The sequence below is a fragment of the Homo sapiens genome, chromosome 5 (assembly GCF_000001405.40).
Source record: "Homo sapiens chromosome 5, GRCh38.p14 Primary Assembly".
In the NCBI taxonomy this organism is placed as follows: Eukaryota; Metazoa; Chordata; class Mammalia; order Primates; family Hominidae; genus Homo; species Homo sapiens.
Window position 1 is genome coordinate 65252710 of NC_000005.10, and position 15957 is coordinate 65268666.

The following is a 15957-nucleotide window of genomic DNA, read 5'->3' on the forward strand; positions in this document are numbered from 1 at the left end:
GAACCATGCAGTAATCCATAGCACCAACTTCTCAACCACAGAAATGAGAGGATCAAGACTACTATATTACATGGGCTATGTAGACTGGGTTGCAAGGTCCTAAAGGAATTCGGGTAAAATCTATTAAACACAGTTGAATCAGCCTAATATTCTGGATTTTCTATTTTCTTTTCTGTTTCTTTTTTTCTATTTTTTATTTGTTGAGACAGGGTCTCTGTCACCCAGGCTGGAGGGTAGTGAGCCTCTCAGCTTACTGTAGCCTCAACCTCCCGGGCTCAGGTGATCCTCCCATTTCAGCCTCCCAAGTAGCTGGGACTACAGGCATGCACCATCATGCCCAGCTACTTTCTGTATTTTTTGTAGAGATGGTCTCTTGCCATGTTGCCCAGGCTTGTCTCAAACTCCCGGGCTCAAGCGATCCACCCGCCTCCGCCTCCCAAAGTGCTGGGATTGATTACAGCTGTGAGCCATGGTACCCAGCCAATTTTCTATTTTCTATTGTAACTTACACTTTGAGCATACATTAGAAAACACACAGCAAGTCTCAAAGATTCATGGCAATAAATAAAGAACTCTCGTTCTCCAGCTTGTTTGGCTATCTGACATTATCTTATTTTTTTGAGCACTGATTAGAAAATTCTTCCAGGATCATTTGAACTTATTCACTGTATTACTTCTAATTAAGTTTCAAGAAAAGTTTTGGGATCGCAAATGACCAAGCCAAAAACGCTTATGGATTGTTATCTAGTCCTTGACTGTCAAATTAATTTTAACTAGTTGGAAAGTTTTCTTTCAAATCTTATTTATAAGACCATTCAATATGCATGATATGCATAGTATTAAATTATGTAAAATATATACTAAGGCAGGAAGCTGGTTTGATAAAAGAAAGGTATATTCTTTTAAATCCTTTAAATTGGGGTGGCTCACACATAACAGACACCTGGGCATCACTGGAAAAAAGAACATTTAAACTATTACACATTTAGAAAAAGCATCAAAGTTAATTTAAAGAACACAGACATAATACCATACTGTTCCAATAGTAACACCTATTCTTTGTTAACTGGAAAATACTAAAGTCTTGCTTACAATATTCAATCTTTTTTTTTTTTTTTTTTTTTTTTTTTTTTTTTGAGACAGGATCTCACTCTGTCATCCAGCCTGGGGTGCAGTGATGCGATCTCGGCTCACTGCAACCTCCGCTTCCTGGGCTCAAGTGATCCTCCCACTCAAGCAATCCTCCCACCTCAGCCTCCCAAGTAGCTAGGACTACAGGCACGCACCACCATGCCCAGCTAATTTTTGTATTTTTTGTAGAGAAGGGGTTTCACCATGTTGCCCAGGCTGGTCTCGAACTCCTGACCTCAAGTGATCTGCTCACCTTGGACTCCCAAAGTGCTGGGATTACAGGAGCGAGCCACCACGCCCGGCCACATTACTCAGTCTTAACTCCAATCACCTCACCTTTTATGATTTATTATTAAATTCCATAGGTTATATAATAGAAGCTGTTAGAATAGATTTTTAAAATGTAGACGCTTCTGCTCTAATATGACACACGCATTCATGAAAAATCTCTTTCCGCAAAATTGCACACTAAAAATAGCAGGCATATGGGAAAAATTGGGTTAGAGGCAGACGATTCAAAGACAGGGCATTAAAACAAAAAGAAAAAATTCTAATAAAATGCTAGCACAATATTTTAAACACATGGCAAATTCCTAGCAAAGAAATACTGGAGTAAATGTAAGATTTTATCTTTTTAAAAACTTGAAAAAATAAGGAAAGCTTATCAGTTGAGACTGTTGAGTTAGAGAAACAGGAGGCCAGTGTAGGAAGAACAGGCAGAAACACATAATAAGGGCTCCTATGATGCTGCACGTGGCCAAACTGAGCAAAAAATAGAATGTGGGGTGAACGGTCATCATGTGCAGTCCAATTTTCCTTTGCTCCTCAGCTATGCTGATGTTGTTTGACTCCCACTGCTATATTATTTAATATCACAAAATAACAATCAAATAGAAGATAATTTGTGTTGCAGAAGCAAGTTTGTAACAGAGCAAACTATACCAAAACTTTATATTATCATAGTTTTTCTAGATTTATGTTGAAAGAATGGAAATATAAAATACTCCACCAAACCAACTCACTACTGACAAGAAGGAGGAGAACTTCTCTCAGTATGGGAAGAGAATATGATTACAATAATATGTTTGGTACATAGTAGTGCTCAGTAAATGTCAGCAGCAGTTGCTCCTACTACTACCACTACATCTGTGGCTACTACTTCTACTAGTAAAGATAGAAATTAAAATAGCTCTGAGGTAGACACCTGTGGCGTACCCACTATCCATTACTCTCTGCTTTCTTGCTAATAGAAGTTCGATATTTTGCTTACGAATCTACCTCTCAGGAGGGGTGACCCTAACCCCATTTTAGGGCAAATCACTATTAATCTAAACCAATTCTGGTAATCTCATTCCTTTTGTCAATGGCTGCTTTAAGGGTGGCCACAGTGACCTCCTGGCAAATAAAACTTGAAGAAATTTTTTTTTAATTTTAATTTTTTTATTTCAATAGGTTTTTGGTGAACAGGTGCTGTTTGGTTACATGCCTAAGTTCTTTAGTGATGATTTCTGAGATTCTGCAGCGGACACTGCACCCAGTGTGTAGTATTTTATCCCTCACTCCCCTTCCACCCTTTCCCCCAAGCCCTCAAAGTCCATTGCATCATTCTTATGCCTTTGCATCCTCATAGCTTAGCTCCCACTTATGGCTGAGAGCATGTGATGTTTGAAAACCTGAAAAAAATTTGCTGAGGAGCAGGGGAGGAGATCCGGGGACAACTTTCGTAATACTTCAGAAACAACACTGGAACAGTTTATCTTTTCTCTTCCTCTCAATATCATCAGGGCAGAAGTACCTTAGGTGCTTGGATGCTCTACTTATCTTTTTATGTTCCCCTCTCTCATAGAATTTGACCTCCTGGCATCCCCTTCATTATTTTGTCAGTTCTTTGCTAATTTTTAAATGATTAAAAAAAAAATCTTACTGAGCAATTAAAAAAAATTTTGTCAGAATAACCTAGTCTATCATGACCAAAAATGGAAGTCTCTCTACATTTATTTATGTATTTATTCATTTTTTAATTTAATTTTAAAAATTTATTTATTTTGAGTCAGGGTCTCACTGTCACCCAGGCTGTAGTGTGGTGGTGTGATCATAGCTCACTGCAGCCTCAGACTCCTGGGTTCAAGTGATACTCCCACCTCAACCTCCTGAGTAATTGGTATTACAGGTGTGAACCCTTTATGAGCTAACAGTGATTTGTTTTGAGAATTTTACACATAAAATTTACAATCTTCTTTATAACGAGAATTTTTCTGTTGCATAGCTAGACTGTCGAGCTCTGTACCGTCCTATATGGTTGCCACCAGCCACATGGGGCTGTTCAAATTAAAACTAATTAAACTTAGAATTTCTGTTCTTCAGCTGCACTAGCAACATTTCAAGTCCTTAATAGCTAATTTGGCTAGTGGCTATCGGGCTGGACAGTGCACACATACAATATTTTCATCACTGAAGAAAGTTCTATTAGACAGTGCTAGTGTAGATTAGGTATTTGGTAAATTTTTATATATTAGATTACATTAAAGCAAGCCCCAGCTTAAACAAAATTACATTCAGACAACTTTATTAACTTGGATAGCATGAAAATACATTTTAGTATGACAGCAGAATTGCCTCAAGTTCTGAGCTAGTAGAGTCAATATTAATGAAGAAAACATAAATATATATGTATCCATAATATAGTTATGTTAACTGTATCTCCTTATAATCTGCTGAAAGATGAAACAGAAGACAAAGACAGTAATAGAAATCTCAACCCACCAATAGTAAGTTCTACAATCTGAACATCTAACATATAACTCATGAATAAAATGCAACAAGCTGAGATGTTTGGCATTTTTTTCCTGTTACCATTATTCACATTACAGTATATAATACATATATCATTAGGGTCTAAATGTACGCCCAACCCTGCAATTATATAATAATGGAATGAGTTGGGAATTGAGAGGTGGGTTTGATTTTTTCTCACTTCTACCTAAAAGTGTGATATATTGTAGATAGGTATTCAGTTCTTCTACCCTTATATAAAACTTCCATTCTTCTGAGATTCACACCGTTCATCCAAATCACTATCTGGCTTCACCCCTATCTGGTTTAATAAATAAGGGTCACTTTTTCTCTCTCTCTCTCTCTCTCTCTCTTTTTTTTTTTTTTTTTTTTTTTTGCTTAAGACAAGTTTTCACCATGTTGCCCAGGATGGTCTTGAACTCCTGGACTCAAGAGATCTGCCTGCCTCAGCCTCCCAAAGTGCAGGGATTACAGGCCTGAGCCACTGTGCCTTGCTTTCTCATTTATTAAGGAGTTTGATAGCCTGTTCACAGTATTACCCTATATTTTAAGTTCCAGTAGCATCCTGAGTGACTTTAATATCCATATGTTAAAGGTCCCCCTCTCAAGACTTAAGTTCTTTGAACTCCTTTACCTCCAGTCAAGTTAGGCACACACTCCCATGGCCACACTCCAGATTTGTCATCATTGAGAATATTCTCACTTGTCATATCTTTAATTCAAATACATTTCATTCTCTGATCTCCTCACCTTCTATCTCTCTCACCCTGTATTTCCTACTATTCTGGTTCTTTGATTTTTATGGCTTTTTAAGTTAGGTCCTTAATTTATTCCCTGTTAGCCCTCTTTGGACTCCACTGTTATTCCTAGCGCAGAGCCCATGGCTCAGCACTTCAATCATTCTTACCAATATCCTTACGTTTTTCTTGATTTATTGTTCTGTTGTAATCTTGTCTTTCACCAATCCATTCTCATCTAAAGCATCAATCTGAGGCTCTTTCAATGGTTTCAAATGTCCCAAGATAAAGATCACACTTCTTAGCCTCTAGGCCTTGCACTTAATTTTCCTTCTAAGATGCTCTCATTTTCACTTTTTTCTGGTCTCCTTAGATTTGCCCTTCATGTCTCTAGCTTCCTGTGGGACAAAGTCCTTAAGTCCCTAATTAGGTTAGGTGCCATTCTATGCACTTCTATAGCATCCCATACTGAATCCCATCATATCACTTACCACTCTGTATTATAATTGTCTGTACCTAAGTGATTTCCCAATAAATTTATAAGCTCTTTGAGGGCAGAGATTGTCTTTCTCACCCAAGCATGGTCTAATATACAATAGGCATTCAATTATTTTTTAAACAAATGAATAAATAATACTGGTAACTCTAAAAGATCATCATAATTGAAGCTACATGTAATTATTCCAAAATACTCCAAAATACAATTTTAATAGAATTAAATATGACAAATCAACTATATAGGTGATAGAAGGGCAGAAAATAGAGTAGGGTAAGGAAGATTAGGAGTCCTAGAGTTGTAGGGAGTGGAGAGGGTTGCAATTTTAAGTTCAGTACTCAGAATGGTCTCATTGAAAAGGTGACAGTTGAGTAAAGGTGAGGCGAGAGAGTTAACCACACAGATATTTTGGGAGAAGAGTACACAAGGCAAAGGGAATAGTCACTGCAAAAGCCCGAAGGTAGGAGCATGTCAGGCATGTTTAAGGAAGGGGACCTATGTTGCTGGAGCAGAGATAACGAGAAAGAAAATAGTAAGAGATGAGTTCAGAGAAGTAATGAAAGCCAGATTGTGTAGACCTTGCAGGCCATTGTAACGACTTTGGATTTAAGTAAAATGGGGAGCCATTGAGGGGTTTTGAGTAAAAGATAATCTGATTCACTCTGCCTCCTATATCGAGGACTGGATAGCAAAGGGGAATCCTCATAAAAGGCTATTAGAGTAATCCTGTGAAAGATAATGGTAACTTAGACCAGAGCAGCAGTAGTGAAGTTAGGCAGCACCTACCATATACTTTGAAGGCAAAACTAATGGGATTTCCTGAGGAATTGGATATAAGCTATGAGACAGAAAAAGGTGTCAAGAAAGACTCCAGGATTTTTGGTGTAAGCCAAATGGAGTTACATCTGAGATGGGAAAAACTGCTGGAAGAACGAGTAGAGAAAATGTTTTGGGGATAACAGTTGGACATGTTAAACATTAGATGTCCATTAAAAGTCTATTTAAATATAAGATATGAACCTGGAATTCATGAAAGAAGTACAGGCTGAAGATATAAATTTTGGGTCAAATGGCAAATAAATGGTACAAAAGCAATGGAACCAGATAAGATCACCAAAGAAAGGAGTATTGGTAGAGCAGAGACACAGGCCACTGACTAACTCTTGGGTACTCTAACATTGAGGTCAGAGTAAAGAGTAGTAGGAGCTGGCCGGGCATGATGGCTCACACCTGTAATCCCAGCACTTTGGGAGGCCGAGGCGGGTGGATCACCTGAGGTCAGGAGTTCGAGACCAGTCTGGCCAATGTGGTGAAACCCCAGTCTCTACTAAAAAGTGTATATATATATATATATAAAATTAGCCAGGTGTGGTGGCACACACCTGTAATACAGCTACTCGGGAGGCCAAGGCAGGAGAATTGCTTGAATCCAGGAGACAGAGGTTACAGTGAGCCAAGATGGCGCCACTGCACTCCAGCCTGGCCTGGCCAACAGAACAAGGCTCTGTCTCAAACAAACAAACAAACAAACAAACAAACAAACAAAAAGAGTAGGAGCCAATGAAGGAGGAAGAGGAGTAAGCATTAATGTAAAAGAACAACTAAAATGTTGTAGTTTCCCGGAAGCCTATTGAAAGTGAAGTAGTAAGCTGAAGACTTAGAATTGACTATTAGATTTAACAGCATGGAAATCACCTGTGACTTAACAAGAGTATTTCCATAGAATGATCAAGGCAAAAACCTGATAGGAGCAATTCTAGAAAAAATAATGTGAAGAGAGGAAATGGATTCAGTAAGTACAGACAAGTCTTTTGAGAAATTTTGTTTCAATGGGAAACAAGGCAATGGGAAAATAACTAGCATGGTTTTTTGGTTTGTTTGTTTACAGATAGGAGAATGTTTGTATGTTTATGAAAAAAATTCAGAAGTGAACAATCATCTGCATATTTATAAAATCACCAAGAATTAAGACAGTAGTAGAGGTGGAAAGCATGAAAATGTTAACAGTCTAATGACATTAATTAAAAGCTGTGGTTTTTAGATAGGGGGAGGAAGAGTGATCTGGAGGAGTAATGAGATATAAACATTGTCAATCCACTTTGAGGCTCAGTCATTCAAGGGCTAAGAGAGAAAACAAAAGCCTACCCAGTTTGAAGACTATAGGAGAAGCAATATCTTCAGAGGAAGAGCTAGTTTCCATTAAAGTAAGAAGGTGAAAGGAAGGAAAATTCAGAGAAGTGAGTATTAGGGGTTTTGAATTCCTGAAAGTACAGAAGAAGTTTCAGTAGTTGGGCAGGGATACAAAACAGAACAGAGGAGGAAATATACAGCATCTTATCTATTGGATGAGGGATAATGTAGGAGTCTGGGGCTTCTTGCAGTGGCAAACATAAAATGGAATAAAGGGCATAATAAGATTAATTCTGTGGAGTCAAGAAAGATAGTGGTGTTGAAGTTGTGAGTGTGTGGGGCAGGGCAGTTCAGGGTGTGTGTGCCTCTCTTGATATCTGTTGGGGAAGAATATACTTGTTCCCAGTACTGGAGCTCCCCCTTGACCCTTATTAATGGAATTGATGGAGCTGAGGCCAGCTCCATTCATTATTAACAATTTAGAAAATTAATGTGACCTTCACACACATGTATTTCTTATCAAATAGTTTAAAATTAAAAAAATTTCCCTACTCTAGGGAAAGAGTAAGCTAATTTTTCATAACAGAGTTTGGTTTTACTTACATCTGTGTTACAGGAGCGATACCGTTTCCTTTCCCCAAGGCAATATTTTCCACCTCCTGAAGGTCTGAAAAAACATTGTGTTTAAAATGTGAATACTAATACATCTGTCCATACAAAGAGTATATATATTACTTGATGAAAACATACTAAAGTTTACTTTCAAAAAATATATCATTTGACATGTTTTAATTATTAAAGTAATCATGCTGGTGATTGTTAGCAATAATTATGGTTGTTGAACATAAAAATTAAGGCAGTTTATTATTAATTTTATTAATAGTACTATTAATTTTGTATTAATTTACTAGTAATTTATAAGATTCTTAATTGTCATGATTTACATTCTCAAGAAAATCAATTGAATCAATATATTTTCTAATTATCATAGTAAAAATCACTTATTTATAATGAAAAGCCATTTAAATCATATTCAACAAAATCCATAATCTGATGCTATATGTTCACCAACTAGGAAATGGAAAGTTTGTTTTTACTCCAGACAGGAAGCAAGGAGACATGAAATAACTCCTTGGAAATAGCTTTCATTCAAAGTGAATAATGCAAAAACAAATTTCCATCTTATTTCAAAATAGTCCATGAAGTTTAAAAATTTAAATCTAAAAATCAGATGGCTTTGCATTATATAAATACTAAATATTTTATATTTCACCAAAATTAATGAAACAGTAAGACGTCAAATATTTGACTAATATAAGTTAATCTTTAAAGGATTTAACATTAGGGAAAACCATTGCTATTATTTGGGCATACTACCATTGAGTGATAAAAACAACTAATTTCTTCTTTTAAAAGAGGTCCAGTTTTTTCCCTTAAGTATCTGGGTATATTATTTATCACAGGGTTTTTTATACTTTGATTAATTTATAGCAGCTTTCAGTTGAACTTACGTTAGTTATTCTGTAATTTTTTTAAAAAGATCAAGTCTAAATTATAATTTTGGCTCACTGGTATCAATGGGATCATTAAAGCTACATTTTGAATATATTTTGAATGCCAGTGAATGCTGACTCTAAGTAAGGAAGGGAAATGGCTCAGCTTGAACCAGCTTGAGAGAAATGGGTTGGTCAGACAAAAACAAGATAGTGGGGATGGTGGTAGCATGACTGGTTTATGAATGGGTAACAGGAAGCTCTGTTTAGCAAGAGAGGAATAATTGATAGGAAGTGGGAGAATGGAAACACAGAACTAACATAAAGCAAAACAAGCTAAAAAGAGTAAAAGAAAAGAAAAAAGACAGTTGGAGACAGGAACCAAAGAGAGGGATCCTGAGTTAAAAATGGAGAAAAACTAAAAAATAAAAATAGACCATCTTTTATTTCAGAATGAGAAAAAAAAAAGGAAAAGCCGTTATCATAACATCATTCTCCATCAAATACTAGCTGGGAAAGAAGGTCCTCAACCAGCGTTCTAGACAAAAATGGGCACTTGACATGCGGCAGCCAAAGAACAGTTTAGTCTCAGGGAGGACAAGAAAGTACAACTAGAGGAACCGTTCACCTGTAATGGGCATGGAGCACTGGTAGGAGGGAGAAGCAACAGAGCTAGCAAAGAATACTGATGGTGCTGGCCTTGTGCCAGGGGGACTCTGGCTGGAGAAAACAGTGGTGGAAGAGGTGCAGTCTGACCTGCATAAAACAGTCATGGGGAGAAAAGTGGTGGCAGCTCCGGAAGATGATTAATGGGGGCATATGAATGGAAACTATTTTAACACATGGGCAGTATTCTTTTCATTGTGATTTGTGATGCGAATCAAGGCATTTCAACCCTTGAAGTGCTCTCATTGGTCCTTTTAATACTGATGTAGCAGTAATAATTTTATGTGACATGTGAAAAGACCTTAGGTTTCCTGGGAATAATAGTAATGTAGCTAAGACCAGATCTGGATTCATCCATAATTCAGTAGTTTTTGGAGGAGGAAATCTGATTATTATTAGATTAAAAGTCTGGCTTATCTGGGACAGATACACAATACTTTCTATTTTTTACATTTTATTTTTGGTTACACAATAAGGGGAAAGGAAGAAGAAGAAAGTCTGTCTAACAAAGCTCCTCCACTTTCCTGTGCCTATGGCTTGTTCTGAAGACAAGTACTTGGCTCACTAGCGAAACGTTTTTACAGATAACATGTGAAACCACAGCTTTGAATCATTTCCAACTGTGTCTTTTTGTTGGCTCCGGCTTACTTTAGCTACTTACGCTGGACTGTCACAGTGTCTTAGGGATGAGGAGACGCCTCCCCCGCAGGTCCTGCTGCACTCTCCCCATAGTGACCAGGGACCCCAGCCCCCATCTATGCTCTGGGGCCAAGTGCCAAAAGGAACACAATCTCCCTGATAACACCACTGCAAGATTTCACAGAAAACACAGAATTAGCTTTTAGGCAGATAGAGCTATCAGGATAGAAATACATAAGGGTCAGGTACTGACCAACTATAGGCATTAGCATTCTCCCAATTGATAACAGACAGATAGTTCTCTAACTGTGTTTAGACACTGGTGAATGTGCATGTGACTTGCGAATTATCTTAGCTAGACCATGATTTATAAGCCTCTAACCTGTATTGGGAGTTCTAAAAAAAAGTCACATTGCTTCTTTTCCCTTGTTTCTATTCCTCTTGACTTTTAGTGTTTCTCATTATAGAGCTAGCTATAGACCTCAAAGTCTTTTTTAGATATTTTAGTATTTTATTTAAAATTTTTCTTTATATTTCACTATTATTAGACTCATGGAATGATAACGCAATATGGAAGGTTCCCCAGTAAGGAATTTTTATGATGGTAATTGCTCTTTCTTAAAAAAAAAAAAAAAAAAGCCGGTTGAGGCTACAATAGTAAAAGAATGTGTTGTGGCATTTCATCTACATGAGCACTGCAGACATAATAAAAGTAATGCCAAGACATTAGGGACTGGGTACAAAAAAACCCTTGTATACACTGACTAGCCATGTGTATGGCCCCCACATGAACATATGTACTGGAATTCTGCTCAGCTCTACTCTCCGTAATAAACCACACATACTGCACCTAAGTAGAAAGCCAGGAATAATTTATTGAGACACAGACATCACAAAATCAACTCATAACTCTAGCATGATAAATCTTATTTGCAGAATATGGCAAAATGAAAGTCTTTTTTAAACCAAGCATTTGTAGACTTTTGTTGATGCATTTTTCAAATTATCAAACTTTGACACACCAAAATAATGCTACTATGAAAGTCATTTGTTTATATGAATAACAATAAGGAACATGGTTATCAGCAAAGTTGAACAAATGTCATCAATGTTAGGTTGTTTAATAAAAATTCAACCTTATATTAAAATGAAAAGGGATCATGATGTGGTACTTAGAAAGTGATCAGTTTATTATACTAATTCTATCACCAAGCTTTGTTGGTTTTATCTCCAGAATATCCCTGGAATTCTTTTACTTTTCACCTTCTTCATCGCTATACTCTAGATCAAACTGGCAAATGGAGTAGCTTCTTACCTGATCATTGTGCTTCTACTTTTTTCTCCTAGAATCTATTTTCCAGAGAGCATTTAGAAAGATCTTTTAAAAACATGCTATCACATTATGCCACCTTTTTGCTTAAAAAAACTCAGTGGTTTCCTATTTCCATAACACTGATCAACAGTAGATTTAGTGATCTAGCCCCTGCCTCCTTCCTCAGCCCCATTCTCTCTCTTACACAGATTACTCCAGACACATTGGATTTCCACCTTCATACACTAATCTTGTTCCTCCTTAGAGCATCTGAATTTACTGGTCCTTCTAGTAATGCTTTGTTCCCAATTCCTTCTACTGCTGTCTTCTCATCTTTCAGTCTCAGGTCAAGTGTCATTTCAACAGAGAGATCTTTCCTTGACCATCCTCATTCTAAAATGATACCTCAATACCCTTTCCTGCTCCCAGACCATGTAACAGTGATTCTGTCCTACTGCTTTAGTTCCCTCTTACCACTTACCACTACTTTAAATTGCCCTGTTTACTTATCAAATTACTTCTTTGTAATGTAAAAGCCTCAAGAGTCACTTGTGGCTATTTAAATTTAAATTAATTGAAGAATTCAGTTCCTCAGACCCACTAGCCACAGGTAGCTAGTGGCTACTATGTTGGACAGAGCAGATGCAGAACATTTGCATCACCACAAAACGTTTTATTGGAAACAATGAATGCCTAGAATAGCACTTGGCATGTAGTGTGTATGTAACAAAAATTTATTAGATTAATTAATTGGCACATAGTATGTATGCAACAAAAATTAATTAGATTAATTAATAAGTAGTTAAATTAAGGAATTGTGTCCTATTTTGGTTATCACATGGCAGGAAGGAACTGGAGATACTGGAGGGTAAAGAAACCAAATTCATATTTGTTTCCTAGTAGATGGTACCAAATTGACAATCAATGAGCTGTGCTAGTTGTAACAGCATAACGGACTTTTTAGAGCAGTGCTGAGCAATTATTTGTCTATAAAAAATTAGGCAAGAGGAAGTTAACATTTCCTTGGCTGTAGGGAAGAATATCTGACCCTAAGTCTGATATATATTAAAACAGGATATTAAGAAAGATTATTGAGTTTTGAGCAATAAAAATTATCATGAAGAAAAAAAGATCATCTGTTCAGAATGATGAAGAAGAGGCAGCTGGCTAAACCAATAATATAGTATCAACCCTGTGATCAGGGTTACTGATAATGTATACTTGAGAAGGAGAAAATGTTCCACTTGAAAACTTACGACTTAGCTAGTTGGTCTTGAAGAACAATTTTTATAGTGATATGTTAATTGCATCAGATCTGCACCTATACAAAAGTCACAACATCTGGCCAAATAATCTCCAGTTTTGTGGTTTTCTTACTACAAGTAACTGTGTGTAAAAATATTTATGTTTGCACCCAGTTTTCCTATGCAAATAACTGAGCAGTATAGTCCTGGCCAGCAATTAACTGCTTTTTTTTTTCCCTGTCTGCAATTAATGAGAACTGACACTTTCAGAAACTTCAAATCTTAAAACATGCCTATTTTTTCAAATTGGAAACTTAGCATTATTGATTTCAAATAACATTAAAGCTTGATTTTACATTTATTTTATATAATCACAGAGTTGAATCTAAAGCTCAAAGGAACTTCAGAATTCATAAGGCCTAAGCACTTCAGTTTTTCAGATGAGGACACCAGAACCTAAAGGAATTGACTTGCCCAAGATCACATACTAGTAGAAAAGGGATTATCTGTCTAAAATACGTAAAAAAATTAGTGGTAAAAAAAAATCCATTGGAGGTGTATGATTATGTATTTGAAGACATTAAAGAATAACATGCTTTACTGGATTTTTATAACTACATAAAATACAAAATAATACTAGAGTTTTTTTTTTAAACACAGCTGTAGATACACGTTATTTCAGACCTCTTTGTATATACCTATGATTTGTAGAGAAAAAATAGTCAGGTTTTTTCATTTGTCAGGTGACAAAAGAATTGTGAGAGCTACAAGAATACTTAAAGATGTAGGTTCCAAAGTATTTATTAATATTATTACACATTTCTAGAATGCTCACAAAATGTAGGGCAGTGAGAAAAGTCACATGAACTAAAGTCATTCTTTAGGTAAATGATAAATACAATATTCACTTCGTAAAATGCTGCTCAGTGTTCATCACTAAAGTCTACACAACAGTAGTATTTCATAAATGGTTTGCTAAAAGGCCTTATACTGCATAAATTCATGCTTTGGTTATATCTATTCCATGGAGCTATATCATAATAGGTAATTTTATCAGAAAGTTAAGTAACAAACATTAATGGGTAAATAATTTGTAATATAAGTATCAGTCACCTAGCAGTTGACAAGAGTGTAGTCTCTAATTTAATACTAGTTAACAACTTAGTTAACTAGCTAACAAGTTAACAACTTTGGTCTGTGTAGGACTTTATGTTACAAACTTCAGTTCTAGCAATATCTTTGATCCAAAGCAAGTCACTTTTCTTTCTTCTCTTTTGTTTCCTTAACTATAAAATGGAAACTAATTTTAGTTCTTGATTCCAATATGGTTTAGATTAGGGAAACTTTTAAAATAGTTCAACGCATACATACCTTCAAAAAAGTTAAAAACCTACGGAACAACTTGTTTGATTTTGATCTCTGCAGAAGTGTTCGTGTTTTGTTTTCCTCCTTTGTTATTTATAAAAATGGATCTCTTTATAATTATGGCTACTTTTCTCCTTTGGTAGTAGTAAACATCAATGTAGTATATGATTTTAAGAGAAGAAACTTATTTAATTAACAAAAGGGCTTTAAGAAGCCCATGGGGACTTCATGTGGATCAAGTGATTTGAATGACTCTTCTAGCTGATTGCATTAATCAATATAAATTAAGAGTTTAATGTGTGTAAATAATGAGTAGAATAATTAGATTACACCAAATAAAGCAACTTGGAATATATAAATCTTATAACCACATAATAATGAGATTCTGAGTGTTGTGCCATCTGTTTTTACTCTTTCTTTTACCTGAAGTTACCAAACCTGTAAAAGCTCTATTTACAGAGAGATAGAATTTTACTTTACGTTTTAAACTAGAAAAGTTAAATATGTAGATGCAAACAAGTTTCTAATCTTTATTTTCAAAGGTTATCCAATCTAGTGATTTTGGACTATTCTAAATAACAGTCATGTTACTTTAGTCTAAATTATCCGGATAAATTGGATAAATTTGGCCTTCTTCTTGCTAATTGGGGTATGTTTAACCACATTCATAAAGGTTAAAGAAGTGAAGCCATCATATTTTTTTCCAAGAATAAAATCTTATATTGTTCATTATTGCTTTTCACATTTCTTCTAAATTAAATAAATGTTTTCAACACAATCTAGAAAGATGGTATATTCCAGTCAGGCTTTAAGAGCCTTCTTTAGAAACACTACTTATTATTAAACAACATCTCTTGCTATTATACTACTAAATATTATGATCTACATCAAGGGACTTTAAGAAAGATACATTATAAATCAAATAATTTAACTTTGAAAATTTGTCACATTTCCATGAAGGAAAACTTCAAGATGAGTATATGCAGTATTTAAAAAAAATTTTTTTCTAGATGTGATTATGGTATACCTTTTAATATCCAGTACTGGGTCCAGGCAGCATTTGGAATAAGAGACCTCTAAGGAAATTCTAAGATTTTGCAGGAAGTAATATTAGTGATTCAATACAGAACATTCTTCCCAAGTCAGAAGAGCTGAGTGTTGGAGCACAGCACTATTAAAAGCCTTATCTTTCCACTGTGCAGGTGCAGGAATGCTAAAGCTACATTTCAGCCCAAATTCTAAATCAGAAGTTGTCATCCCATACTATTTAGATTTCTACAGCAATTGGAAGAACTATTCTTTCTTCACTTCCTGTGTTTATAGTTTGGGAACCAGTCAAAACATACTGTATTCTACCCTAAGTAAATTAAGAACTAAGGCTGCAAACGTCCTATTATATATCCAGTGCTTTAGAAGGGCATTTAATAATACTATTCTAATCCAGCCCTGTGTTTCCTATGGAAAGATATTAGGAATCAATGTCACTTACATGTAAACCCAAATACTGGGCTATATCTCTAATTGGGTCTTGTAGAGTCATTAAATCAATCTATTGGCTATAAGCCAGTATTTGAAGCCTTCTTTGTGGTCACCAACAGGGATTACAAGGATTGGGTTTTGATTATCCTTAATATCCTGTTCAGTAACAATGCCAACACTACTATCAAAGTTTTTACAATCTAAATCCTTATTTACTATTTCGTCAATTATGGCATTGCTCTGATTCCTGTCCAAAGGGCTATTGCTGATGCTGTATCCAAGGAAAGCTCTCTGGCTGAAAGTTATATTAATTGATTTGTAGGAGACTGACCCATAGACACACAGTACCAGCGCACCGTCTGGGCTCATCAAATTTCCTCCTTTGGTTAATGCTACTGTCCCTGAGCACATCCATTCAGACCATATGGTTCTTATTCAATCCTTGAATGGCTTATTCAGGCGAACATCCAAT

At 35.8% G+C, this 15957-nt stretch overlaps 1 protein-coding gene across 15 annotated transcripts in view; it reads right to left on the minus strand.

Moving 5' to 3' along the window:
• ADAMTS6 (ADAM metallopeptidase with thrombospondin type 1 motif 6) overlaps nucleotides 1-15957 on the minus strand; it is a 333183-nt gene that overhangs the window by 103972 nt on the left and 213254 nt on the right. For 11 of the 15 annotated variants that reach the window (XR_007058575.1, XM_011543117.3, NM_197941.4 and 8 more), the window contains 2 exons: nucleotides 10108-10253; nucleotides 7891-7954 (listed from right to left, as the gene is read on the minus strand). Coding sequence is in view for 12 of the 15 variants with exons in the window: in XM_011543117.3 (XP_011541419.1) it covers nucleotides 7891-7954; nucleotides 10108-10253 (210 nt within the window). In the remaining 3 variants the exon portion in view is untranslated. Of the gene's footprint in view, nucleotides 1-7890; nucleotides 7955-10094; nucleotides 10254-15957 lie in introns of all 15 variants that reach the window. The other 4 variants (NR_135689.2, XR_007058576.1, XM_047416675.1 and 1 more) reach the window with 2 other exon arrangements.